General features: G+C 47.5%; 1 protein-coding gene across 6 annotated transcripts in view; it reads right to left on the bottom strand.

Annotated features, from left to right (window-relative positions):
- Window positions 1-19,282, bottom strand: part of XG (Xg glycoprotein (Xg blood group)) — a 64,461-nt gene extending 45,179 nt beyond the window's left edge. For 5 of the 6 annotated variants that reach the window (XM_005274587.5, NM_001141920.2, XM_011545575.4 and 2 more), the window contains exons 1-2: window positions 18,987-19,282; window positions 731-772 (exon numbers count right to left, since the gene is read on the bottom strand). In XM_005274587.5, coding sequence (XP_005274644.1) covers window positions 731-772; window positions 18,987-19,047 — 103 coding nt within the window. In that variant the 5' untranslated portion in view covers window positions 19,048-19,282. The remainder of the gene's footprint in view (window positions 1-730; window positions 773-18,986) is intronic. The other variant, XM_017029787.3, reaches the window with a different exon arrangement.

Here is a 26,270-nt window from a genome sequence, read left to right as displayed (position 1 = left end):
TGGGAGGGGAGATTGGAGGCCATGGATTGGGATCGGGGTATGGGACAATGAGGGATATGAACTGAAGTGTAAGAAAAGCAGAAACTGGGGAGATTGGAGGCCATGGATTGGGATCGGGGTGTGGGACAATGAGGGATATGAACTGAAGTGTAAGAAAAGCAGAAACTGGGCCAGGCATGTTGAGGCACGTCTGTAATCCCAGTGTTTTGAGAAACCAAGGTAGAAGGATTTCTTGAGCCCAGGGGTTCAAGACCAGCCTGGGCAACATAGTGAGAATCCGTTTCTACAAAAAAGAAAAAAGAAAAAAATTAGCTTGGCATGGGGGCACACACCTGTTGTTCCAGCTACTTGGGAGGCTGAGGTGGGAGGATCACTTGAGCCAGGAAGTCGAGGCTATGTGGTAAGCTATGATTGCACCACTGCACTCCAGTCTGGGCATCAGAACGAGACTCCCATCTCAACAAAATAAAGTAAAATAAAATAATAAAATACTAGCATATTCCTAAACCACAGGTTTAGAAGCACAGACCTACCAAGAAATGAGTCTGAGACTTTTAGAGAGTGTGTAAAGGTTTGTCTCAAGGTGTCTGCAATCTCCTGCAAAGAACAGAGATCTCAAGACCAAGAAATTCCCAACACTGGCCCAATCCAACCCCAAAGTAACTATACAGCTGATGCTGTTAGATCCAAGCTGAAAAGGGAAGGCTCCCCTTGAAATATCGGCACTTACCAGGGTCATCAAGGGCATCTGCCAAATCAAAGTCTCTTTGACCTATTGGGAGCAAACAGGGCATAAGTCACCCCATGATGGAAAGGCCAGAATCCCCCTTGTTCCTCACCTCATGCTGCTCCCCTCCTCCTGCAAGCCTAGGGTCGCCCAGAGCACTAAAACTAACCTGACCATGAGCTACATGGGAGATGCAACCACCACCTCCACCTAGTCCCAGAGCATACTCATCACCCAAAAGAAGACCCCTGTCCCCATTCAGCAGTTAGTTCCCCTCCCGCCTCCCCAGCCCCTGACAACCACTATCCACTTTCTGTCTCCATGAATTGTCTGTTCTGCAAATTTCTTATAAATAGAATTCTACAATATGTGGTATTTTGTGCCTGGCTTCTTTCATTGAGCATGATGCTCTTGAGTTGCGTTCACGTTGCAACCTGTGTCAGAGCTTCATTCCTGCTCATGGCCAGGAAACTTTGAAGGAAGCCTCTCTCCAAGCACATAGACTTCTCTCCTGGACTGTCCCACTCACAGCTTAGGACAGGCATATCCCCGCCCCCCAACGCCCCCCCCACCCCTCCACACACGCACAGAGTCTAGGTTGAGAGGGGCTGCCCTAGAAGAAGGTGAAGCACAACAATGTGAGGGTCCTGGATGCCTGAGAGACTATATGGAGCATAGGACACCTTTGCCACCTCACCTGGCTGCAACACAAACAAGAGATAAACTTTTAATTCTTTGGGGGCTGTTTGTTATAGCAGCTAGCCTACACTGACAAATACAGGGTCAGGAAGCAACCTGTGTGGACAAGCTGAGGTTCCTACCTGATCCAAAAGCAGTTAATCTAATGAATGTGTCTGCAGCAGAGAGAAGAGAACATTCACATCTTTGGGACACATCATTAAAAACACACTGCAGAATTTGTGAGGGTGAAGGGTCCCTCTTGCTGACATATATGCACACCTTGATCTTGTTCCTCACTTGCCCCTGCCAGTACTAGCCTTGTAGAGAAAACACCACCAGAGAATTTATCAGGAAGTAGAGGATGCAGCCAGGAGCACATTGAGTCAGCACTTACTATGCATTGAGTTCTGTTGCAGTAATGCCAGGCACCCAAGAGTCTCATCTGCCCACCCAAGGATGTTGGTATGACCAGCATGCATATTTCCCAAAGGAAGAAACTGAGGTTCTGGGAAGTTCAGGGCAAGGCAGGAGCAGAGTCAGAATCTACAGAATTGTCCAGGGGGGACAATCTCTCACTCAAACACTAAGCCCTGGAGGAGGCTAAGCCTGGGGGAACCAGGTGAGCCCTAGGTACTGGGTCTCCCCCGCTCTGATGTCTGTCTCCCTCCCAAAAATCGGTCTGCCTCGGTGACGCTTGCTCTGGGGGAAGGTTCAAGGGCTCCAACATAGATTCGTATAGGCTGTGGCATGGCTCCAGTCAGATGCCACCCGGGCAGGCTTTGCCGCTCCTTGTGGAGGCAATTAGGGCCTCTCCGGAGCAGAAGACGCATCCCCAGACAGGAATCCCTAAGTCAGGACAAAGTCACAAACCTTGGAGGGAAGGGGAACTCTGAGCCCAGGGTGCACACAGCAGCTGCCCCTGGGCCCAGACTGGAGGCTGGGAGCTGGCGGTGCCATCACAGGTCAAATCCCACACGGCCGTTTCTCTCAAACTCTGGGAGCCCCCACGTCCCTCTCAGATGACGTTCTCTGTTACCAGCGATCACTACAGGCTCGCCTTTAAGAACAACCCAGCAAATCTTTGCTCCATCCAGCTCTCTTCTTATTTTTTCTTTATTGTTGTTTTCTTTTTGTTTGTTTTGTTTTTAGATGGCGTCTCTCTCTGTCGCCTAGGCTGGAGTGCAGTGGCACAATCTCAGCCCACTGCAACTCCCACCTCCTGGGTTCAAACGATTCTTGTGCCTCAGCCGTCTGAGTAACTGGGATTACAGGTGCATGCCATCACGCCCAGCTAACTTTTGTATTTTCAGTAGAGACAGGGTTTCACCATGTTGGCCAGGCTGGTCTCGAACTCCTGACCTCAAGTGACCCACCTGCCTTGGCCTCCCAAAGTGCTGGGATTACAGGCGTGAGCCACCGCACCTGGCCTCCTCCAGCGCTCTTGATCATCATGGTCCAAGCTGCTCAGACTGGGCTGGGGGACAGGAACCGTGTCAGCCTCTTGGATCTGTGCAACATCTCCCCTCCAAGGCTGCCAGCAGTTCCAGTCGAGACACCTGTCCAGGACGCCAAAGTTAAGCGTCCCGGCTATGCACACACCCTGAGAATTTACATTCCAATCTGTGTTCGCCGTTGACCAATATCTTTCACTGTGTTATGTCTCCGCCCATCCCAGCAATCCCAGGCATCCCCTCAGCAACCACTTAATCTCCTCCAATCTGTGCACCCGGCCACTCCCTGCTGTTGCCCTAAATAACCAAAGGCCTCGGTGTTGTCTCTCCCCTCCCAGTCCCTCCTCTCTGAAATGCTGTTGCATAAAACAGGCAGGTGGCACGGGAGGGCTGCAGACAGCTCGTCTCATCCTGCAGCAGGAGGCCAGGTTGCAGCGGAGGCTCCTTCAGCTTTGAGATGCTCCGGATGACCCTGAGAGATGACAGGAATTGGGGGTGGGGAGGGTCACAGAGGAAGTGGAGCCTGGGGGCTTTAGGCTTTGCTTGGTTTCAGGGGTTGCACTACAGCCAGAAGTTGCTGCACGCGTGACTCACACACACGAGGCCGTTGTTGGTCACATCCAGACCTCGTTACATAAACCAGGCGGACTCCGGCCAGCATCAGACGGCCTGGGCACTGAGACAGTCTCCAGTCCCGCATGCCAGGCAGCAAATCTATCTCCCAGGCAGGGCCCCCTGTCCTCTCTCCTCTCCAGGGAAGTTGCAGCAAAGCCACGCCTGGGGTCCTCACGGGTCTGGAGTAAGACCCCTGGGCTGGGAGATGTCCCAGGTAGACAACGCTAACTCTGGGGTCTCTGTCTCCAAGGTCGGGTTGCACATGACGCCATTGCTTTCACGGGGTTTATTTTCCACTGGGAACATAAGACGGGGCAGGAACAGGAGATCTATTTCTGATTTGCTTTGCTTATAGTTAGTGAACTGAGCGGCTTTTAATCAAATCCTTGTGGTCTGGGATCCCTAAACCCCCAAGAAGAAAGCAGCCTCATTTTGTGCTGGGACTATGACAACGGTCCTCGGTTGCTGGCATCCTGGAGATGTCGATTAAGTGGCTCCTGTTGGTGGATGGGTGGGCCGAGCGTTACACATGAGCCCCCGGTAAAGCTGTGCTCGGGACCCTTCGGAGCAAAGCCATGTGATACAGCACTTTGAAGCATTCTTCTGTAGCCTGCAGTCACCAAACCCCTCTGGGACCCAAATTCCACCCCTGCCGGATTCAAAGATGCTTCTTATTGGAGTTCCCCTGCCTCCCACCCAAATTCTTTATGTTGATTCAGACCTGCACGTGGTTCAGGCTTACGAAACAATACCGCCAAGTGCAGGCCTCAGCAGCAGCCTCAGAAGCAGAAGTTTCTCTCGGAACTTCTCCAGCCCCCATGTCTCTGAGTCCCATTCTCCCCTAAGGCACCGAAGGAACTAGAATCCCTCTTCCCCAAGACGGGTCCCAGAAACAAGAACGCCTTTCCCCCCGAAGCCAGCCATAAAACCTAAAAACAGGAATCTAACTTTCCCTCTATCCTATCTGTATAAAGAGTGGCACAGGCTGGGCGCGGTGGCTCACACCTGTAATCCCAGCACTTTGGGAGGCCGAGGCAGGCGGATCACGAGGTCAGGAGATCGAGACCATCCTGGCTAACACGGTGAAACCCCGTCTCTAGTAAAAATACAAAAAAATTAGCCGGGTGTGGTGGCGGGCGCCTGTAGTCCCAGCTACTCGGGAGGCTGAGGCAGGAGAATGGCGTGAACCCGGGAGGCGGAGCTTGCAGTGAGCCGAGTTCACACCAGTACACTCCAGCCTGGGTGACAGAGCAAGAATCTGTCTTGAAAAAAAAAAAAAAAAAAAAAAAAGTGGCCATAAGGAAATTCCCTGACCTGCCTTGTTTGGGCGTCCTAAGACCCCCCATCCCAGAGAAGCTCCCAGCCCCATACCCGGAAGGAAGGAGCACTGTTCAGAGAGGCCAAGAAGAGGCCGGGTGCGGTGGCTCACGCCTGTAATCCCAGCACTTTGGGAGGCCGAGGAGGGCAGATCACAAGGTCAAGAGATCGAGACCATCCTGGCCAACATGGTGAAACCCCGTCTCTACTAAAAATACAAAACTTAGCTGAGCGTGGTGGTGCGTGCCTGTAATCCCAGCTACTCAGGAGGCTGAGGCAGGAGAATTGCTTGAACCTGGGAGGTGGAGATTGCAGTGAGCCAAGACTGTGCCACTGCACTCCAGCCTGGCAACAGAGTGAGACTCCGTCTCAAAAAAAAAGAGAGAGAGAGAGGCCAAGAAGAATCTAGACACACAGGCCTGGCTGGGTTTCCCCACTCAGGCCATTAGCATTGGATCAGGCCCTTTTTGTCCAACCCTATTTCTACACAGCTGTCCAGACTTGGATGAACCAAAGCATAAATATAGACAATCTCCCCTTGTAACTTGGGGTCTTCATTCTGAATGCTCCCGTGTATACACATTAAATACATTTGTATGTCTTTTCTCCAGTTAATAAATCTGCTTCATGTCCATGATTTTCAGTAATGCTTCAGGGGCCACGACCCCAGAAAGTCAATATAACAAACAGCAATTTTGCAAAGCAAAGAACAGTACCATTGCTCGAATAATAATGCAATGTCGAGGCCACTGCCCACTGAATATTAGCTGCCACCAGCACAGCTGCCACGCAGCACAGGAGAGCAATGGACCCACAGCAAAACCTCTGCTCCCCACTGAATTATTTACCTCGCTTTAAAGAAGAAAATCAGCTCCCAGCAGGCTCTGAGCAGAAAATGAAAAGGAACACACAGAGACTATCTAAATCCCTGACCCCAATTACAGCTATTGCCAGCAGAATTTATACACCACGGAACTGAATTAGAGCCAACTGCAATCATTACGGGACGTGCAACCACATTAGTAAATTCAGACAGGCTCTTCTGTTTCATTATTCAATCCAATGTCCTTTGATCTGCGTGCCCTGGTGAAACAAAGCCCTTTCAAGCAATTGTTTCCTTCCTTCCTTCCTTCCTTCCTTCCTTCCTTCCTTCCCTCCCTCCCTCTTTCTCTCTTTCTCTCATACAGAACCTCACTATGTTGCCCAGGCTGCAGTGCAATGGCGCAATCTCTGTTCACTGCAACCTCTGCCCCCCAGGTTCAATTGATTCTCCCGCCTGCCTCAGCCTCCTGAGTAGCTGGGATTACAGGCGCCCCCTACTATGCCCAACTAATTTTTTTTATTTTTAGTAGAGATGGGGTTTCACCATGTTGGCCAGGCTGGTCTCAAACTCCTGACCTCGTGATCCACCCACCTTGGCCTCCCAAAGTGCGGAGATTACAGGCATGAGCCGCCGTGCCTAGCCTTTTTTTTTTTTTTTTTTTTTTTTGGATAAAGAATCTCACTATGTTGCCCAGGCTGCAGTGCAATGGCGCACTCTCGGCTCACTACAACCCCTGCCTCCCTGGTTCGAGCGCTTCTAGTGCCTCAGTCTCCTGAGTAGCTGGGACTACAGGTGCATGCCACTACGCCCAGGTAATTTTTGTGTTTTTAGTAATGACGGGGTTTCACCATGTTGGCCAGGATGGTCTTGAACTCCTGGCATGAAGTGATTCACCCGCCTCGGCCTCCCAAAGTGCTGTAATTACAGGCATGAGCCACCGCCCCCGGCCTATTTTTTATTTCTTTACATCGGATTGTACTGGTTTCCTCTGAAGTGTGGGTTCATTTAAATCAACTTTCTTGGGTCAGCTGCTGCAGATGAAGCCACTTAGTGGGTACTAAGCCCATAGAGCCCTCCTCAGCTTGAGGAAGCCCACAGAGGGGAAAGTTCCGAGGTTTTACAAAGCTGGCACAGGGACCCCGAGAAGGACAAATCTTGACTTCCTTCAGGCAAATCCTAAGGTTTCTCTTTGACTCCAGTTCAGCAATTAAAAAATACCTATGTGTATATATAGAAAGCATATGATAATGGTTCTTGTGACTGAACTTGTGACCGGAAAGAGGTCTGGAATCAGACCCCAGGACAGGGTTCTTGGACCTTGCACAAGAAAGAATTTGCGGCGAGTCCATAAAATGAAAGCAAGTTTATTAGAAAAGCAGAGGAATAAAGAATGGCTCCTCCATAGACGGAGCAGCCCCGAGGGCCACTGGTTGCCCATTTGTATGGTTCTTTCTTGAGGATATGCTAAACAAGGAGTGGCCCATTCATGCCTCCTCTTTTTAGACCATATAGGGTAACTTCCTGACATTGCCGTGGCATTTGTAAACTGTCATGGTGCTGGTGGGAAGACACAAGTGAGGACCACCCGAGGTCACTCTCATCGCCATCTTGGATTTGGTAAAATTTGGCCGACTTCTTTACGGCAAGCTGTTTCATCAGCAAGGTCTTTATGACTTGTTTCTTGTGTCAACCTCCTATCTCATCCTGTGCCTTAGAATGCCTTGACCATCCGGGAATGCAGCCCGGCAGCTCTCGGCCTCATTTTACACAGCCCCTACTCAACCTGGAGTTGCCCTGGTTCGAACACCTCCCACTAACTCAACTTAGGTCCACCGGCCCTGTGCAGTAAAGCCGAACACCGCCATTGGGATTGCAGCGTGAGGAAGTGAGGCGTTTATTCCGAGCTATTTAGAGGGCATCAAGCAACCTCCTTGATGCCTCAAGACCCAACCTCCTGGGTGGCCAGTAGCTGAGGGTTTTCAATGGCAAGGAGGCAGAGGTTACAGGCAAAGCCATAATACATGCAGGCTATACATTGCTTTGATCTAAAAAGGCGGGATACCTGGAAGCAGGGGCTTAATGTGGATTCAAAGTTTCTCTGATTTGTCATTGGTTAAGGAGGCCAAGTTTGTCTGAGCATTTGGGGTCAGCAGAAATCAATGTTAGTTGTGGCCATTGGTGTGACTTCCTCCAGCACGTCCCCTCACCCCCCTTCCACCCCCCTCCCACCGCCACATGCCCCAGGGAAGGAATTTAGAACAAACATTTGTAATGAGAATTCAGGCCTCAGTTTCTCTTACCCAACGTCTATGAGCCAGCAGATGGCATTTTTTATTTGGTGGGGGTCTGGGTTCCTGAAAATCAACTCAGGGCCATATAGTAAGATGTTATCTTGGCTGGGCATGGTGGCTCACACCCGCAATCCCAGCACTTTGGGAGGCCAGGGCAGGCAGATTACCTGAGGTCAGGAGTTCCAGACCAGACTGGCCAACATGGGGAAGCCCTGTGTCTACTAAAAATACAAAAATGTGGGCGTGGTGGTGTGCACCTGTAGTCCCAGCTACTTGGGAGGCTGATGCATGAGAATCACTTGAACCCAGGAGGTGCTGGAGGTTGCACTGAGCCAAGATTGCACCACTACACTGCAACCTGGGTGACAGAGCAAGACTCCATCTCAAAAAAGGATGTTATCTTTAGTCTTTACAGGAAACTAAACATATTGAGGCTCTAACTTCCTTGGCTATTGTTCTACACTACAATCACCTTCTTGCTTATCAAGCTGCTCCATGTACTTCTCAAGGCCAGCGAGGTGCCTGGAATTTCCCTTGAAGGAACTCAAGGTTTTCCTTTATTTCCATGCTAGGGAGAGTGCCTGGCAGGCCCCTAAGAGGGTTGTCCTTGCTCCATCTCACTCTCTCCCAGGACGGCATGATTCACAGAGTAAAAAAAATTAAATCATATGACTAGGTTAGGACCGTAGGTTGCAACAGAAAGTGACAAGGAAGGCTGCTGCCCCAATGGGGAATCTTATTCCCGGGGGGCTTGTTTGCCAAGGGCTGAATTCTACTTTAGCCCCATGGATAAGATGAAATCCATTCTGTTCTCTAATTGGTTAAGAAGTTTATATTTCCAGCAGGACAGGAAATCAAACACAGCTGGAGTCTCCTCCTCCACACCTCAACATGAATATCCAGGGACTCCCTAATGCTCAAGCTCACCGGGGCTGCAGACACCAGAGCTGAGCAGGCCGCCCTGGTGCATGATCTGCTCCTCGGAACCCATGAACCCTCCACGGTCTCAGCATCCAAGCAGCCCAGCCTCTCCCCAGAAGGTCAACCAACTGGCCCCGTTCTTGACTTCCCAGTGACCATATTATGCAGTTGCAGATTGAAGCTCTATTAGAGCAGACATTGGTAATGAGAATTCAGGCCTCAGTGTCTGTCTGTAACACAACAGACGGTGTCTGCAGAGATCGAAGTATTTTGTCGTCGAAGAGGAAGGAATGATCATTCATCACAAAAAGCAAGACATCTTTGGTGCAAGGAAAACTCGAGGAAAATACCGCAGACCATGCAATGAGGCACTGGTTGACGGTGTGTTATAAACCCGTCTTCCCAGAGTGGCATGCACACGGATCCCTCAGGACATGGGTGACACACAGACTATGCTTCAGCAGGTCTGTCTGGGCCCAAGACACAGTGTTTCTCATCAGCTCCCAGGGGATGTCAAGGCTGCAGATCCATGGATCTCACTTTGCAGGACAGAGACTTGGTAATGGCTTCCCAGAGTTGTTACAATGCAATCCCAAAGACTGGGCAGCTTAAACAACAACCTTGATTCTCCCACAGTCCTGGAAGCTGGAAGTCTGAGATCAAGGTGTGGGCAGGGCCGGTTCCTCCTGAGTCCTCTCTCCTGGGCTTGTAGATGCCGTCTTCTCCCTGAGTCCCCACGTGGTCATCCCTCTGTGTGCGTCTGTGTCCTCATCTCCTCTTCTTATGAGGTGTCTTAGTCCATTTCAGGCTGCTGTCACAGCATACCATAGACTGGGTGGCTTATAAGCAACAGACATTGATTCTCCCACAGCCCTGGAGGCTGGACGTCTTGAGATCAGGATATGGGCAAGGCTGTTTCCTCCTGAGGCCTCTGTCCTGGGCTTGTAGACACCATCTTCTCCCTGTGTCCCCACGTGGTCATCCCTCTATGTGCATGTCTGTGTCCTCATCTGCTCTTCTTATGAGATGTCTTAGTCCATTGCAGGCTGCTATCACAGAATACCATAGGCTGGGTGGCTTACAAACCACAGACTTTTATTCTCCCACAGTCCTGGAGGCTGGAATTCTGAGATCAAGGCATGGGCAGAGCTGGTTCCTCCTGAGGCCTCTCTTCTTGACTTGTAGACACCCTCTTCTCCCTGTGTCTTTACAGGGTCATCCCTCTGTGTGTGTCTGTGTCCTTATCTACTCTTTTTATAAGGACCCCAGTCCTATTGGATCAGGGCACAACCTCCTGAGCTCATTGTACCCTTCTCACCTCTTTAAAGACCCCATCACCAAACACAGTCATGTTCTGAGGTCCTAGGGATTAGGCCTTCAATATATAAATTTTGGAGACGCACAATTCAACCCTTACAGAGGTAACTCATTCATTGGAATACAAATGTGTTTGTCCACTGTGGCTGCTGCCATAGCAAAGTCCCACAGACCAGGCTGTTTAAACAGTGGACATTGATTCTCCCACAGGCCTGGAAGCTGGAAGTCTGAGATCAAGGTGTGGGCAGGGCTGGTTCCTACTGAGACCTCTCTCCTTGGCTTGTGGATGCCATCTTTTCCCTAAGTCCTCACAGGATCGTCCCTGTGTGCATGTCTGTGTCTTCATCTCGTCTTTTTATAAGGTCTGCAGTCCTGTTGGATCAGGGCCCAACCTAGTGACCTCATTTTGCCTGAATCACCTCTTTTTTTTTTTTTTTTTTTTTTGAGACAGAGCCTCGCTCTGTCGCCCAGGCTGGAGTGCAGTAGTGCGATCTCGGCTCACTGCAACCTCCACCTCCCAGGTTCAAGCGATTCTCCTGCCTCAGCCTCCCAAGTAGCTGGGACTACAGGCACGCCCAGCTAATTTTTTTTTTTTTTTTGTATTTTTAGTAGAGATGGGGTTTCACCGTGTTAGCCAGGATGATCTCCATCTCCTGACCTCATGATCTGCCAGCCTCAGCCTCCCAAAGTGCTGGGATTACAGGCATGAGCCACCGCACCCAGCCTGAATCACCTCTTTAAAGACCCCATCTCCAAACACAGTCACAATTGGAGGTCCTGCAGGTTAGGACTTCCATTTGTAAAATTGAGGAGGGTACAATTTGGCTCACAACAGATTTAAACCATGGAACATGGTCAATTACAATGGGGATGCCATTGGACAGCCTGGTTCAGTGGAGATAACCAGGGTTTGGGAATCTAGAGAGACAGTTTCATCTCAGCAACATCACGCGCCTGGCCTACGCTCTCAATAATACTCTTCCTTAATTTTTTTTTTCTGAGACAGAGTCTCGCTCTGTTGCCCAGGCTGGAGTGCAGTGGTGCAATCTCAGCTCACTGCAGTGCAATGGCACAATCTCAGCTCACTGCAACCTCTGCCTCCCAGGTTCAAGCAGTTCTCTCACCTCAGCCTCCCGAGTAGCTGGGATTACAGGCACACGCCTCCATGCCTGGATCAGACCAGAATCCAGCCACATGCAGATTCCAGATCAGCCCAGAATCTGATTCTGAAGCATTCCCAGAGGTTGGGATTCACAGACTACAGCAGAGTTTCCCAGCCTCAGCACCGTGGCTGCACACATCGCTCACAGGTTTAGGTGCCTCTGGCCCCTGATCCATCGGGGGAATCCCCAGGAGCTTTGCCGTGTCTGGCAGAGCCCCACCTGCAGGCAGAACCCCACTTTTCTACCCCCTGTGTGCCAATGAGAAAGAGGAAAATGGCTGGAATGAGGGGGGCCCTCACAGGAAGGGTCAGTTGTTATCCAAGAAAGGGGAGACATTTCTTGGACTCCGTGCTTGTCTGCTAATTGGCTCCAATATTTGCCAGATGTCTTCACACTCAGGTGCCAAACAGCCATAGACTTTTTCTGCACAGCCCCTTCCTACTCCAAGAAGGAAACTATGGAATGCTCAGCTTCTGGGTTATATGTGCCATGGCTCTATGCCCTATGGGGAAAAGATCCTACAAGTGCATTCTGACAGTAAGATCCATTTAGAAATGCCCAGACAACTATACCGTACCTCCTATACTGTACAGGACAACTATACCTCCAGACAACTATACCTCCAGACAACTATACCTCCTACAGCGTACAGGAGCATGACATTTCCAACCTGTCCCCTTTCGCAGGGTTAGAAGTTATAACTAACAGCAGGTTCTCCACTACAGCACTAATGACACTTGGGGCTGCGTAACTCTCTGTCATGGGTGCTGTCCTGTGCACTGTAAGGTGTTGAACAACATGCCTTGTCTCCACCCACCGAATGCGAGAACACCCATCCCAGTGCAACTACCAAAATTGTTTCCAGACATTGCCAAGTGTTACTCGAGGAACACAATTATCCCTGGGTAGCAGAAGAATGTCACAGATAGATGATGGACTGCTAGATAAATAGATAGATTGATAGACGGATGGATAGATAGATACATAGATAGATACATAGATACATAGATAGGTAATAGAGATGAGAGTTGGATAGAGAAGTAGGTAGAAAGATAGATAAATAGATAGATAATAGATGACAGAAAATCATTGACAGATAGATTAGGTAGATGATAGGTGTATATAATAGAGACAGATAGGTGGATGGATAATGGTAGACGATAGATAGATCTAGAGATAGGCAGACAGACAGACAGGATCTCTCATGCTAAGGCAAGATTCCTCAGCCTCAGTCCTACTGACATATGAGGTTGGATCATTCTTTTCTGTGGGGCGTCCTGTGCACTGCAGGGTGTTGACCAGCATCCCTGGGCTCCACCCACTAGATGCCAGCAGCATCCCTGCTATCAGTGTGGCAACGCAAAGCCTCAAGATATCGACAAGTGTCCCTGTGGATAAACATGATCCCTGGTTGAGAATGGCTGGATGGCAGCACCTGTATCTGGGGGTGTCACCTTGGGCCTGCATAGAGTGAATGACACATCACCGAATTGGAGAGCACAGAGCTGCCTCCCCACTGTGGCAGTGATCCATGAGACTCCACGCAAAGGTAACCACACGGTTGCACACGGAGTCATCATCTCTTAAAAGAAGCACATAGCTCCGCTTGGGCATCACCTGGGGTGCTTCTTAAAATGCAGGTCTCCCAGCTCCCAAATGCCTGACCCACACCTGCTGAATAAAGACCTCAGTGGGTGGGGACTGGGTGGCGCTTTTAATACCTCCTCCCTTCAAGGTGATGACCTGCACATCAAAGACAGAGAATCACTGCACGAAATGGCTACACGCTCCAGGTGACAATGGCAGGGAAATGACCCATTTGTGGTTCCCTTTCCACACCTACAAATTTGCTAGATCCTTTGCAGGGAAGGAGGGGGCAGGGAGAGAGGGGGCACCAGAATGGAAGCAAGTCAAGAAAAATATAACTGAGACGTAGGATGAGGCTGGCGTGGTTTGGGGTTCTGTACGCTGGCGTGGTATGGCTTCTCACCTTAGGCGATCATCATAACTTTTTTTTCCTTTTTTTTTTTTTTTTTTTTTTTTTGAGATGGAGTCTTACTCTGTCACCCAGGCTGGAGTGCAGTGGTATGATCTCAGCTGATTGCAACCTCCGCCTCCTGGGTTCAAGCGATTCTCCTGTCTCAGCCTCCTGAATAGCTGGGATTACAGACACCCCCCACCATGCCTGGCTAATTTTTGTATTTTTAGTAGAAACAGCGTTCTGCCATGTTGGCCAGGCTGGTCTCAAACTCCTGACCTCAAGTGATCTGCCCAACTCGGCCTCCCAAACTGCTGGGATTACAAACATGAGCCACTGTGCCCGGCCCACAACTTCCCCATATCCCAATTTTTAGAAGTAAACTAAACAGCCTGTGACAACCTAATGCAGCAAGTAATGAAAAATACTTGGCACAATCCTCACTTACCTTTACTCAACAGGAAGTACTCAGAAATATGATTTGCTACTGTTCAGAGCTCTGAGTGATCTTTTTCATAAGTCTTTTTTAGTCTTTACATAGAAACACAGCTCTATACAAATGCACACACATTTTAAGTCATGTTGATACGGACAGGAGGCCTGAAGATACTAGATACAAGAGGGCAGTTCCCCAGCAAAGGCCCCGCCCTCAAGCCTGGAAACCTGTAGTCCTAAATGGAAACAGGCATTCCTATTTTTGTGCCCAAATGTTGCCTTTTGACCCACCATGCCTGCCTGTCCTGTACCCATATAACCCCAAACCCCAGACCCCATGTGCAGACAGACAGATGAGCAGAAAAGGTGAGGAACCAAAGAGCAGCACAGCAGAGAAGGAGAGAAGAGAAGGAACATCTGAACACTGAGAGGTGTTCAGCTGGGGATGGTTGGAGAAGAGATTAGCCGCAGGACAACCAAACTCCAGGGGAAGATCATCTGCCCACTCCATCCCCTTTCCAACTCCCCAACCATCCCGCTAAGAGTCATCTCCATCTGGCAACAAACTCTTCTGCATTTACCATCCTTCAGCTGGTTCGTGTGACCTGATTCTTCCTGGATGCTGGACAAGAACCCGGGTACCAAGACGGCACTGAGCTGGCTAACACTTAAGCCACGTGCGGATGGCAGAGCTAAAAGAGCACCGTAAAACGCCCACTAGGGCTTCGGGGGTCGCAGGCACCCATCCCTAGATGCTACCGTGGGGCCCAGAGCTCAAAAACACTCACACTAGCTGCTGCACCTGCCCGTCTGCAAGTTCTGCCTCCCATAAGAGGTTTCAGTGTGTGGCGGTCAAACAGATCAAACACACCCCTGTTGCACATCCTGTGAGGGGGCGTCAGGGAACTCTCAGGTTTCAAATCTGATAAGGGAATAATGTACAATAGACTTGGAAGAGACTGTCTTAGCTGGTGTATATCCTGGACATATATCCTTTTCTTTTAATTTATTTTTAATTGATGCATAACAGATGTACATAGCTTCAGGGTACATGTAATAATTTAATACATTTATATAATTTGTAAAGATCAAATCAGCCTACTTGGGATATCCATCCACCTTAAATATTTGTCTTTCCTTCATATTAGAACCATTCCGACTCTTCTATTTTGAAGTCTACAATAGATTATTGTAAACTAAAGTCACCCTACTGATTATGTAAACACTAGTGCTTATTTCTTCTATCGAACTCTGTCATTTTCTTTTTTTTCCCCTCAATAAATGACATTTCATACACTGCCCTTTGGGGTTTCCACTTCTGGTTCTCAGCTTCTTCTCAGCTGTTAGAAGACCTGATTTTGTCTCGTGCTCCTTCATGCCCCTCTGGATTGGACGGCAAATACTAATTAAATACAGTGGAAATGTAGGGCTGCTAAAATGTCAACCTCTATTAGGAATATGGCCGTCTTGCTATTATCTTCTTTTGTATTGATAATTTAGTAATCATCATAATGATTTACAGCATATTAACCATTAACAATATTCTGTCTTCTTTATTTTATTTTAAGTTCCGGGATACGTGTGCAGGACGTGCAGGTTTGTTACATAGGTAAACATGTGCCATGGTGGTTTGCTGCACCCATCAACCCGTCACAGAGGCATTAAGCCCCACATGCATTAGCTATTGATCCTGAACAATAATCTGTTTTCTTAAGTACTTCATAGCAATCATCGCACCAGCCTTGCAGAATGTTTTTGGGATCTTGGGAATGTGCCCCATTTCCAGCTGGTGATGGCTGGGGATGAAACAGGGTCGTCTGTGCATTTAACTAATTTTTACCCAGGACATACCCAGCTGCTGCATGTACATCATCTTATTTACACAGAAGGGCCCTGATCCAGACCTCACTTTCCTTCCAGTCCCTCCTGTAACCTCCCTAAGGGGCGCTACTTGTGTCAGAGGCACTGGAACCAGAGCGACTCCATCTTGAATAGGGGCTGGGCAATAGAAGGCTGAAACCTACTGGGCTGCATTCCCAGATGATTAAGGCATTCTGAGTCACAGGATGAGACTGAAGGTCTGCACAAGATACAGGTCATAAAGACCTAGCTGATAAAACAGGTGGTAGTAAAGAAGCCGGCCAGAACCCACCAAAACCCAGATGGTGATGAGAGTGGCCTCTGGTTGTCCTCAGTGTTACCCTCCCACCAGCACCATGACAATTACAAATACCACGGCAATGTCAGGAACTCTGCATGGTCTAAAAAGGGGAGGCATGAATAATCCAAGCCTTGCTTAGCATATCACTAAGAAATAACCATAAAAATGGGCAAGCAGTAGCTCTAAGAGCTGCTCTGCGGAATAGCCATTCTTTTATTCCTTTACTTTCCTAATAAACTTGTTTTCAGTTTACAGACTAGCCCTGAATTCTTTATGGAGCGAGATCCAAGAACCCCGTCTTGGCGTCTGGATCCGGACCCCTTTCCTGTAACACTTGGAGGAGGGATGATTCTGATTTTCAGAAGACAAGGCTTGGGATAGAGCGGGATGCTCACTGGAGTCTTCCCAGACAGAGCTACAGGACAGCTCAGATTCCGCTGCCGGCTGCCCCCGTCCAAATCCTCAGTGCCTCAGTTTACCCATATCTGTGACGGTTAATACTGAATGTCAACTTGATTGGATTGAAGGATACAAAGTATTGATCCTGGGTGTGTCTGTGAGGGTGTTGCCAAAGGAGATTAACATTTGAGTCAGTGGACTGGAAGGGGCGGACCCACCCTCAATTTGGGTGGGCACCATCTAATCAGCTGCCGCTGTGGCTAGAATATAAGCAGGCAGAAAAATGTGAAAAGAGACACTGGCCTAGTCTTCTGGCCTACATCTTTCTCCCATGGTGGATGCTGGAACATCAGACTCCAAGTTCTTCAGTTTTGGAACCTGGACTGGCTCTCCTTGCTCCTCAGCCTGCAGACGGCCTGTTGTGGGACCTTGTGATCATATGAGTTAATACTTAATAAACTCCTCTCTCTATATATATTTCTATTGCATTAGTTCTGTCCCTCTAGAGAACCCTGACTAATACACCATCTGTAAAATGACATCAGGCACGACACTCCCGTCATAGGGCTGAGGGACAATCAACTAAGTTAATCCATGCCTAGTGCATAGGAAGTGCTGCCGTCAGTCAAAGAATTTAGCGCAGGACAGGGTATGGTGGCTGATGCCTGTAATCTCAAGATTTGGGGAGGCCAAGGCAGGAGGATCGTTTGAGCTGAGATGTTCAAGTCCAGCCTGGACAACATAGTGAGATCCCGTCTCTACAAAAAGTTTTAAAAACTAGTCAGGCACAGCGGCAAATGCCTGTAGTCCCAGCTACTCTGGAGGCTGAGGTGGGAGGTTTGTTCGAACCCCTGGGGTGAAGACTGCAGTGAGCTATGATGGAACCACCGCACTCCAGTCTAGGTGACACAGTGGGCCCCTCCCTCAAAAAAATTAAAACACATTAAAAAAAAGAAAATATTTTATGTTGTAAGTGCATTTAATACAACTACCCTACCAAACGCCATAGCTTAGCCTTACCTGCCTTCAGAGTGCTCAGAACACTTTTCATCAGCCAACGGATGGACAAATCATCTAGCACACAGTCAACTTTATAATGAGGTGTTGCATACCTCACATAATTTATTGAACATTGTACTGAAAGTGAAAAACAGAATGGCTGTATGGGGCCGGGCATGGTGGCTCACATTTATAATCCCAGCACTTTGGGAGGCCGGTGGATCACCAGAGGTCAAGATTCAAGACCAGCCTGGCCAACATGGTGAAACCCAGTCTCTACTAAAAATAGAAAAATTAGCTGGGTGTGGTGGTGGGCACCTATAATCCCAGCTACTTGAGATGCTGAGGCAGGAGAATTGCTTGAACGTAGGAGGTGGAGGTTGCAGTGAGCTCAGATTGTGTCACTGCACTCCAGCCTGGGCAACAGAATGAAACGACACGACATCTCAAAAAAAAAAAAGAAAAGTTGTATGGGTACTCAAAGTACAGTTTTCGTTTGTACTGAATGCATACCAATTTTACACCGTTGTAAAGTTGAAAAATCTTAAATTGAACCATCATGTCAAACCATGGTAAGTTGGGAACTGTCTGTATCCGCACTTTGTAGAAGTTGATTTGCCCAAGGGGATATGGTTAACCTTTGGCTCTTACTGTGAATGATACAAACTCCTGGAAGTACTTTTCTGGGGAGGTGGGTTTACTGTTGAACATCTCCCTGTAAACAGAAGCTAATGAATGCATGGCCACATTGTCCACTTACTAGGTGAGATCTGAAGACAGCACAGAATAATAAAAAATTCTCACTGCAGATCCTAGACTATGTCCACCAGGATCTATCCATCCCGACACCGCCTCCGCCCATAAACAACCAACTCCAATCTTAATGACGTCCATGTCTTTAAATAGGATAAACAGGAAATGCTGCCACAGGGACATCTGAATGATGTGTTTTAACTCCTAACAGAAATACTTCTCTCTCTTAAGATGCGCCCAGGTGTTCCCTTCTCTGAAATCGCCACATGAAAATGACCAAAGAAACTTACTCAACCGTTGTTCAAATCCTGTACTTTATGAGTTCATTGGAGTTTCTTAAAGAGGTCCTCGTACGGAACTGAAAAATCTAATCTTGGATCTGGGACAGCCAGCCTGCAAGTTTATATCGAAGTTTTTGATGTGAACAATTCAGGTGGTTTTAATTTGCAAGAATGAATGACAGTGTTTAGGAAAAGATTTAAAAATCTGAATAAATGCAACCCTTCCGGCAAACGAATCTCTGGTAATCTGCCCCACGGGATGAAGTAGTTTCAACTCTACTTTTACTGTATGGAAATGGTCAGAACTAATTTTTAAAATCAGAAAGAAATGACTGACATTCCACACACACCCAGTCATGCTTGAATCATGGAGTTAAATAGGTCATTTTTTAAACGCTTGGGACACATGGATCAAAACAGGAAAATATGGCGAATATCTAGATGGTATCAGCTAACATCCTGCCCTTCTGGATCTAATTCCCAGATTCCAAATGGGAGCAGCCCGTCTTCTCCCTCCCCTCTCAGCCACCCATCGCTCTTAGTCTCCTTTCTAATCCCATTGGGCAAATTATCCCCATTCACTTCATAGCAACTCCTTTGGAAAGAGTTTCTTAAAGCAAGAATAGAAAAATCCATGCCCAGGCAGATCTCCCTCAAAGCAAAATGCCTCTTACCTCGGGCGTGCATTAGAAAACACAGGAACGCAAGACAGGGAAGTCCCCACCAGCTCTCCATGGTTTGCTTCAGGATGCAAGAACCTCAGTGGACTCCCCAGCCAAGCGGATTGTGAGACCCGGCCTCTCCACCCTCCTGTTGTTGACTTCTGGTCTCCCAGCTTGGAAGGAAGGGAGGCGATGTCTTCAAGTGGAAAATATGAGCGGAACTGCCAGAAACAAATGGGCTCCAAGCTCAGATCCCAAACTCCACAGCTGAAAACCTGTGGGACCAGTGTAGGCACACTCAGTCGTGTGTCGGAGCCAGCCTCCCCGGGCTGCCCCAACCAATCTGCAGCAGCACAGACGATGGGGAAACTGGGGTGGTTCCCAAGCACCAATGGGCATCTCAGGCTTCTGGAAGCCGGCACACTTGCTTGGCAACTCTGCTCGCTGCGGGTGTGGGAGCTGTAGCAAGTTCAAAGTCACCAACCCAGAAACCAGAGAAGACACTGGCCGCCTGTAATCTTCCTCCTGCAGGACATGATTGTACAGTGATACCCAGTGTGGGGTTAATGTACACATCAGTGCAAAGACCTCAGTTGAAGTCTTGGCTTTTATACCTAACAAACTCAGTGACTTCCAAGAGGCATTTTTTATCCTCAGCCTTCAGTTGTCTTTGTAGGTGGCAGAACTAATATTTCAGCAGAGACGGTTGTTCAGGAAAAGGAGATATGTGGCTTTTTGTGTCTTTCATTTAAATCTGAGACATTTTATGTAACTACCAAAATTTACATCTTCTGTTTGAAATCTCCTTGGAGAAGAAACATGACTGGATAGCTGAGTTCGATGATGACTCCTGCTTTCACAATGGTTTTAATTATATTCTTCCCTGCAGATCTGTGAGTGTGTCTAATTTATCCATATACAACTCGTGGGTTAACCCTTACACTCTACCTACCATGAAGCAGTAGGCAAGCACTTAAAAAGTTACCATTTGCAAACAGCTTTGAAGTCCTCTGGTAAATAGATTAACTGCAGGAGAAAGGGGAAAATCAGTCTTAGTTATGAGGGCAGCTTCTAAATTCCCAGAGAAGCAGGATTCATGGCAAACAGACCCAAAAGGAGAAATAAACCTTGGACTTTTCTCTCTGCAAATTTGAGCATCTGGAGTGTTAAGTCTGTTCATGTTGTTGACCTGGTGTTTGGGAGTTGTCTTCTATGAAATATCTTCCTTTTTTTTTTTTGAGACAGAGTCTCACTCTGTTGCCCAGGCTGGAGTGCAGTGGTGTGATCTCAACTCACTACAACCTCCGCCTCTCAGGTTCAAGTGATTCTCCTGCCTCAGCCACCCGAGTAGCTAGGATTACAGGCACCCGACACCACACCCGGCTAATTTCTGTATTTTTAGTAGATACAGGGTTTCACTGCATTGGCCAGGCTGGTCTTGAACTCTTGACCTCAAGTGATCCACCTGCCTCGGCTTCCCAAAGTGCTGGGATTACAGGTGTGAGCCATCGCGCCTGGACTGCAACATCTTTATAAAGGTAAGTTACTTGGATGGATTAAGTTCCTGTGCACACAGGTGTGTGTGTGTGTGCACGTGTCTGTCTGTGTGTGTGTGCGTGTGTGCGTGTGCATGTGTGCGTGTGCATGTGTGTTCATGTGTGTGTGTGTGTGCATATGGGGGAAATGCTCTAAGGCAGTTAGCTTGTGCAGTCCTAAGCTCTGAGTGGCAGAGTCCAGGAAGCAGTTGATGCATTTAGAAAGATATTTCCTTCAAAGTCCCCTGACCCTAAAGAGGACTGACACCGTGACATCTGCTACAAAGTGGATGGACGTCAAAAACTGGATGCTGAGTTAGAGAAAACAGACACAGAAGAACGCATTGTGTAGGATTCCATTTCTCTGAAATGTCCAGAACAGGCAAATCTGCAGAGACAGAAAGCACATTGCCGGTTGCCAGGGGCTGGAAAGACGTGGGAATGGATATATTATGAGTTGCATTTTTTCTCCCGCAAACTTCATATATTGAAGCCCAACCCTTCAGTACTTCAGAATGTGACTTTCTTTGGAGATAAGATCTTTGCAGATGTATTACTTTGGTGCAAAAGTAATTGCAGTTTTCACCATTAATTTTTTTTTTTTTTTTGAGACACAGGCTTGCTCTGTCACCCAGGCTGGAATGCAGTGGCGTGATGTCAGCTCACTGCAACTTCTGCCTCCTGAGCTCAAGTGATTCTTCTGCCTCAGCCTCCTGAGTAGCTGGAATTACAGGCATGCACCACCACACCTGGTTAATTTTTGCATTTTTAGTAGAGACGGGGTTTCACCATGTTGGCCAGGCTGGTCTCGAACTCCTGACCTTGTGATCCGCCCACCTCGGCCTCTCGAAGTGCTGAGATTACAGGCGTGAGGTAGCGTGCCCAGCTCCTCGCCATTACTTTTGAAGGTGAAAACTGCAATTACTTTTGCACCAACCTAATCATTAGTTAAGATGAGGTCATACTGCAATATGATTGGTATTTTAAAAGAAGAGAGAAATCTGGACACTGACATGCACACAGGGAGAAGGCCTTGGGAACATGAAGTGGGAGATTGGGGTGATGCACCTACAAGCCAAGGGATATTGGCAGCAAACCACTGGACGCAATGGGAGGGGCATGGAATCCATTCTACCTCACAGCATCAGAAGAAATCAGCCCTGCTGGCTGGGCCCGGTGGCTCACGTCTGTAATCCCAGCACTTTGGGTGGCTGAGGTGAGCGGATCACTGGAGATTAGTAGTTCGAGACCAGCCTGGCCAACATGGTGAAATCCCGTTTCTACTAAAAATACAAAAATTAACTAGGCACGATGGTGCGCGCCTGTAATCCCAGCTACTTGGGAAGCTGAGGCAGGAGAATTGCTTGAACCCGGGAGGCAGAGGTTGCAGTGAGCCAAGATTGTGCCACCGCACTACAGACTGGGCAACAGAAACAGAGTGAGACTCAGAAAGAGAGAGAGAGCGAGAGAGAGAGAAGAAAGAGAAAGAAGAAAGAAAGGAAGAAAGAAAGAAAGAAGAAGGAGGAGGAGGAAAGGAAGGAAGGAAGGAAGGAAGGAGGGAAGGAAGGAAGGAAGGGAGGGAGGGAGGGAGGGAAAGGGGAAAGGTAAGGAAAGGAAGAAAGAGAAAGGAAGGAAGGAGGGAAGGCAGGAAGGGAGGGAGGGAGGGAGGGAGGGAGGGAGGGAGGGAGGGAGGGAAGGAGGGACGGAGGGAGGAATCCACCCTGTTTGCTCCTTGATTTCAGACCTCTATGCTCCAGAACTGTGACAGCTTAACTGTCTGTTTTTTAAGCCCCCTACCTAGTTTGAAGCATGTTTTTATGACAGCCCCAGGAAGCCAATATAAAAAACAGCTGCTAATGGGATTTCTTTTGGGGGCAGTGAAAATATCTTGGAACTAGGTAGAAGTGGTGGCCACAAAACACTGTGAAAGCAGCAAGCAACCTGAATTGTTCACTTTAAAATGGTGAATTCTCCTGTCATCCCAGCACTTTGGGAGGCTGAGGCGGGTGGATCACCTAAGGTCAGGAGTTCAAGACCAGCCTGGCCAACATGATGCAACCCATCTCTACTAAAAATACAAAAATTAGCCAGATGTGGTGGTGACTGCCTGTAATCCCAACTACTTGGCAGGCTGAGGCACGAGAATTGCCTGAACCCGGTAAGCAGAGGTTGCAGTGAGATGAGATCACGCCAGCCTGGGTGACAGAGACTCCGGGTCAAAAAAAAAAAAAAGGTTAATTCTATGATTTGTGAATTTCACCTTAATAAAAAAAATGTTTCCCAAAAGGTAGTGAGGAGTTAGGTTAAATGGTTAAGTTCAGGAAATCCTCTCAGATGTAGTGAAGGTGCAAAATAATTGCTACGATTTCCAGCATGCCTAACGTGCCAGTGTTGTAAGTATTTTACATGCTTCTTGAGGCAAGAGTAGACAAGCTTTTCTGCAGAAGGTCAGATAGTAAAGGCATTTATCTTTGCAAACCATATGGATTCTGCTGCAATATGTAACCAATGTCTGTGCGCCAAGTGGACTTTATGAACATAAAAACTTGAGTGTCACATAATTTTCATGCATCACAAAATATTATTGTTCTTTGGAGTTTTGAAAATTATTCAGACATGTAAAAACCATTCTTGGCTGGGCACCGTGGCTCATGTCTGTAATCCCAGGACTTTGAGAGCCAGAGGCAGGCAGATCACTTGAGGCCAGGAGTTCGAGACCAACCTGGCCAACATGGTGAAACCCTGTCTCTACTGAAAATACAAAAAGTAGCCGGGCGTAGTGGTGCATGCCTGTAGTCCCAGCTGCTCAGGTGGCTGAGGCAGGAGAATCGCTTGAACCCAGGGGCGGAGGTTGCAGTGAGCCGAGATCATGCCACTGGACTCCAGCCTGGGCGACGGAGTAAGACGCCATCTCAAAACAACGATAACGACAATAATACAAAAAAATTCTTACCTCGAAAGCTGTACAAAAACACACCGTGGGCAGATTTGGCTCCCGGGTTCTAGTTTGCCGACATCAAAGCTGTGTGTTGCAGGAGTCCTGGGAAACCCAGTTTTATCACCTCTGCTTCACTAAAGTATGGTCAGGGCAGGCCGTGTGCCCAGCGGTAATACACGCAGGCTCCAGATCAGAGCACGTTAGGGGAAAAGCACTCTACTTCACCGCTCGAAGCCTCAGCTGATCAAATGCTGGGAGCTCACAGACATGGCAGAATTTACAAAGCCGACTTTAATTTTCACATCCTCGATAACCTTAAAAAGCGTGAATGCATCTCCTTTTCAATGTTCATGGGATGCTCCTGAAAATTCACAACTGCACTACAAAGAAAGCTTTAGCAAACTGTTTTTTTAAAGTAGAAACAAGACAGAAGACATTCTGTTGCTGTAAAATTGGAAATAAGAATATTCTAGGCCACGCATGATGGCTCACACCTGCGATCCCAGCACTTTAGGAGGCCGAGGCGGATGGATCACCTGAGGTCAGGAGTTTGAGACCAGCCTGGCCAACATGGTGAAACCACATTTCTACTACAAATACAAAAATTAGCCGGGTGTGGTGGCATGTGCCTGTAATCCCAGCTACTTGGGAGGCTGAGGCAGGAGAATCACTTGAACCGGAGAGGTGGAGGTTGTAGTGAGCTTAGATCAGGCCACCGCACTCCAGCCTGGGGGACAGAGTAAGACTCTGTCTCAAAAACAAAATAAAAAGTAATAAAAAATAAAAGAATAAAGATATCCTTATTCTGCGTCACACTAACTTCCTGACTTTGTGATTCACCCTGGCACACATACAGACATGGATACAACAGGTTTTTAAGATATAAAATCAAGAAAAAAATCAAATCTATTCCTTTCTTAGGAGCGTTGGTCAGGAATGGGCAGGAATTAGGTAGAAAGGTGTGTGCATGTTTCATTGCTTGTAGACACTGCCTGTGATGGTTCATACTGACTGTTAACCTGATTGGATTGATTGACACAAAGTATTGATCCTGGGTGTGTCTGTGAGGGTGTTGCCGAAGGAGATTACCATGTGAGTCAGTGGGCTGGGAAAGGCAGGCCCCCCGCCCTTAATCTGGGTGGGCATAATCTAATCAGCTGCCATCAAGGCTAGAATATAAAGCAGGCAAAAAAATGCAAAAAGAGAGACTGGCCTACCCTCCCAGCCTACATCTCTGTCCCGTGCTGGATGCTTCCTGCCCTCAAACACTGGACTCCAAGTTCTTCAGTTTTGGGACTGGGACTGGCTCTCCTTGCTCCTCAGCCTGCAGATGGCCTATTGTGGGACCTTGTGATCGTGTGAGTTAATATTTAATAAACTCCCCTTTGTGTGTATATATATATTCCATTAGTTATGTCCCTCTAGAGAACGCTGACTAATATACAGCCAAATCACTCCCCAAGGAGACGGTGCAAATTCACAGCAGCAAAATTGAAAATGGATAATGAAACCAGGAAAGCAAACAAAGCAACAATATCACCCGGACGTTTTAAAAAACTTTTAATGTTGAGTTGACAGGAAACAAAAGCTGAAAATGCTAAATACTAGAAAATGACCATGATACAAACTCCCCATGAAAGAACTTGAGAGCTTGTAGTACACAGATGAAAAGTTAGAACCTCGCCTGTTTACAACATTAAGCAAGAAAGAATGAAAATAAATGGAATGAACATTCAACTCGAGAAGTCATCCTGTGTGGGGAGAGTGGGTATCACATGAAACTCCAGAAAAGCAGGTGGAGGAAATTAATGCATTGAAAATTGAGAAATGATTTGCCAAATAATTTAAACATTATCTGAGAAAACTAAAGTAGACGAAGATAACAAACTAAAATAATGACAGCACAAAACAAGAAGAATGCGAGCTTCTCCATACACTTGGAGGATGCGGAAGAATTATAAACAACTACTTTGTTCTAATCTGCACTGTGATATTTGAAAACTTAAGTAAATACGAATGACTTTCCAATGAAGAAGTAGAAATACATAAAGTTTTTTTTTTAAAAATTCATTTCCCAGCCGGGTACAGTGACTCATGCCTGTCATCCCAGCACTTTGGGAGGCCGAGGAAGGCAGATCACTTGAAGTCAGGAGTTTGAGCCAGCCTGGCCAACATGGTGAAACCCCATCTCTACTAAAAATACAAAAATTAGCTGAGCGTGCTTGTATATGCCTGTAATCCCAGCTACTCGGGAGGCTGAGGCAGGAGAATTGCTTGAACTTGGGAGGTGGAGGTTGCAGTGAGCCAAGATTGCACCACTGGACTCCAGCCTGGGCAACAGAGTGAGACTCCATCTCTAAATAAATAAATCTCTCTCCAACAGAAAGAAACAAAAACCCTTTGCCCCCTCTAAAACACACACACACACACACACACACAGCCCATGCCCAGAAAACTTTAGCCAATCAGATTTTCCACAAGAGAAAGAAGAAAATCTACCAAAATGTATGTATGAAGAAAGCACAATATTGAAATATATTACATGCAAACATATAACACACATGAATTTGACTTTTGAATATTGACACAATAATCCTAAAGAAAATAACAAAACTAAAGTGTAACACCAAATAAGATTGGATTGAAGGATGATCGATGATATGTCATTATATTTAATTCACCATATTAACAGGTCAAAGTAGAAAACCATAGTCAGCATGATGCATCCCAAGAAAACACTTGATTGAATTTAATACCCATTCCTGACAAATGTTCTTAAGAAAGGAATACATTTTTTCATTATTTTATAGATGAAAACCTGTT

Source organism: Homo sapiens, chromosome X, assembly GCF_000001405.40.
Source record: "Homo sapiens chromosome X, GRCh38.p14 Primary Assembly".
In the NCBI taxonomy this organism is placed as follows: domain Eukaryota; kingdom Metazoa; phylum Chordata; class Mammalia; order Primates; family Hominidae; genus Homo; species Homo sapiens.
Note: the sequence above shows the minus strand (reverse complement) of the source record. Positions and strands in the feature narration are given on the sequence as shown.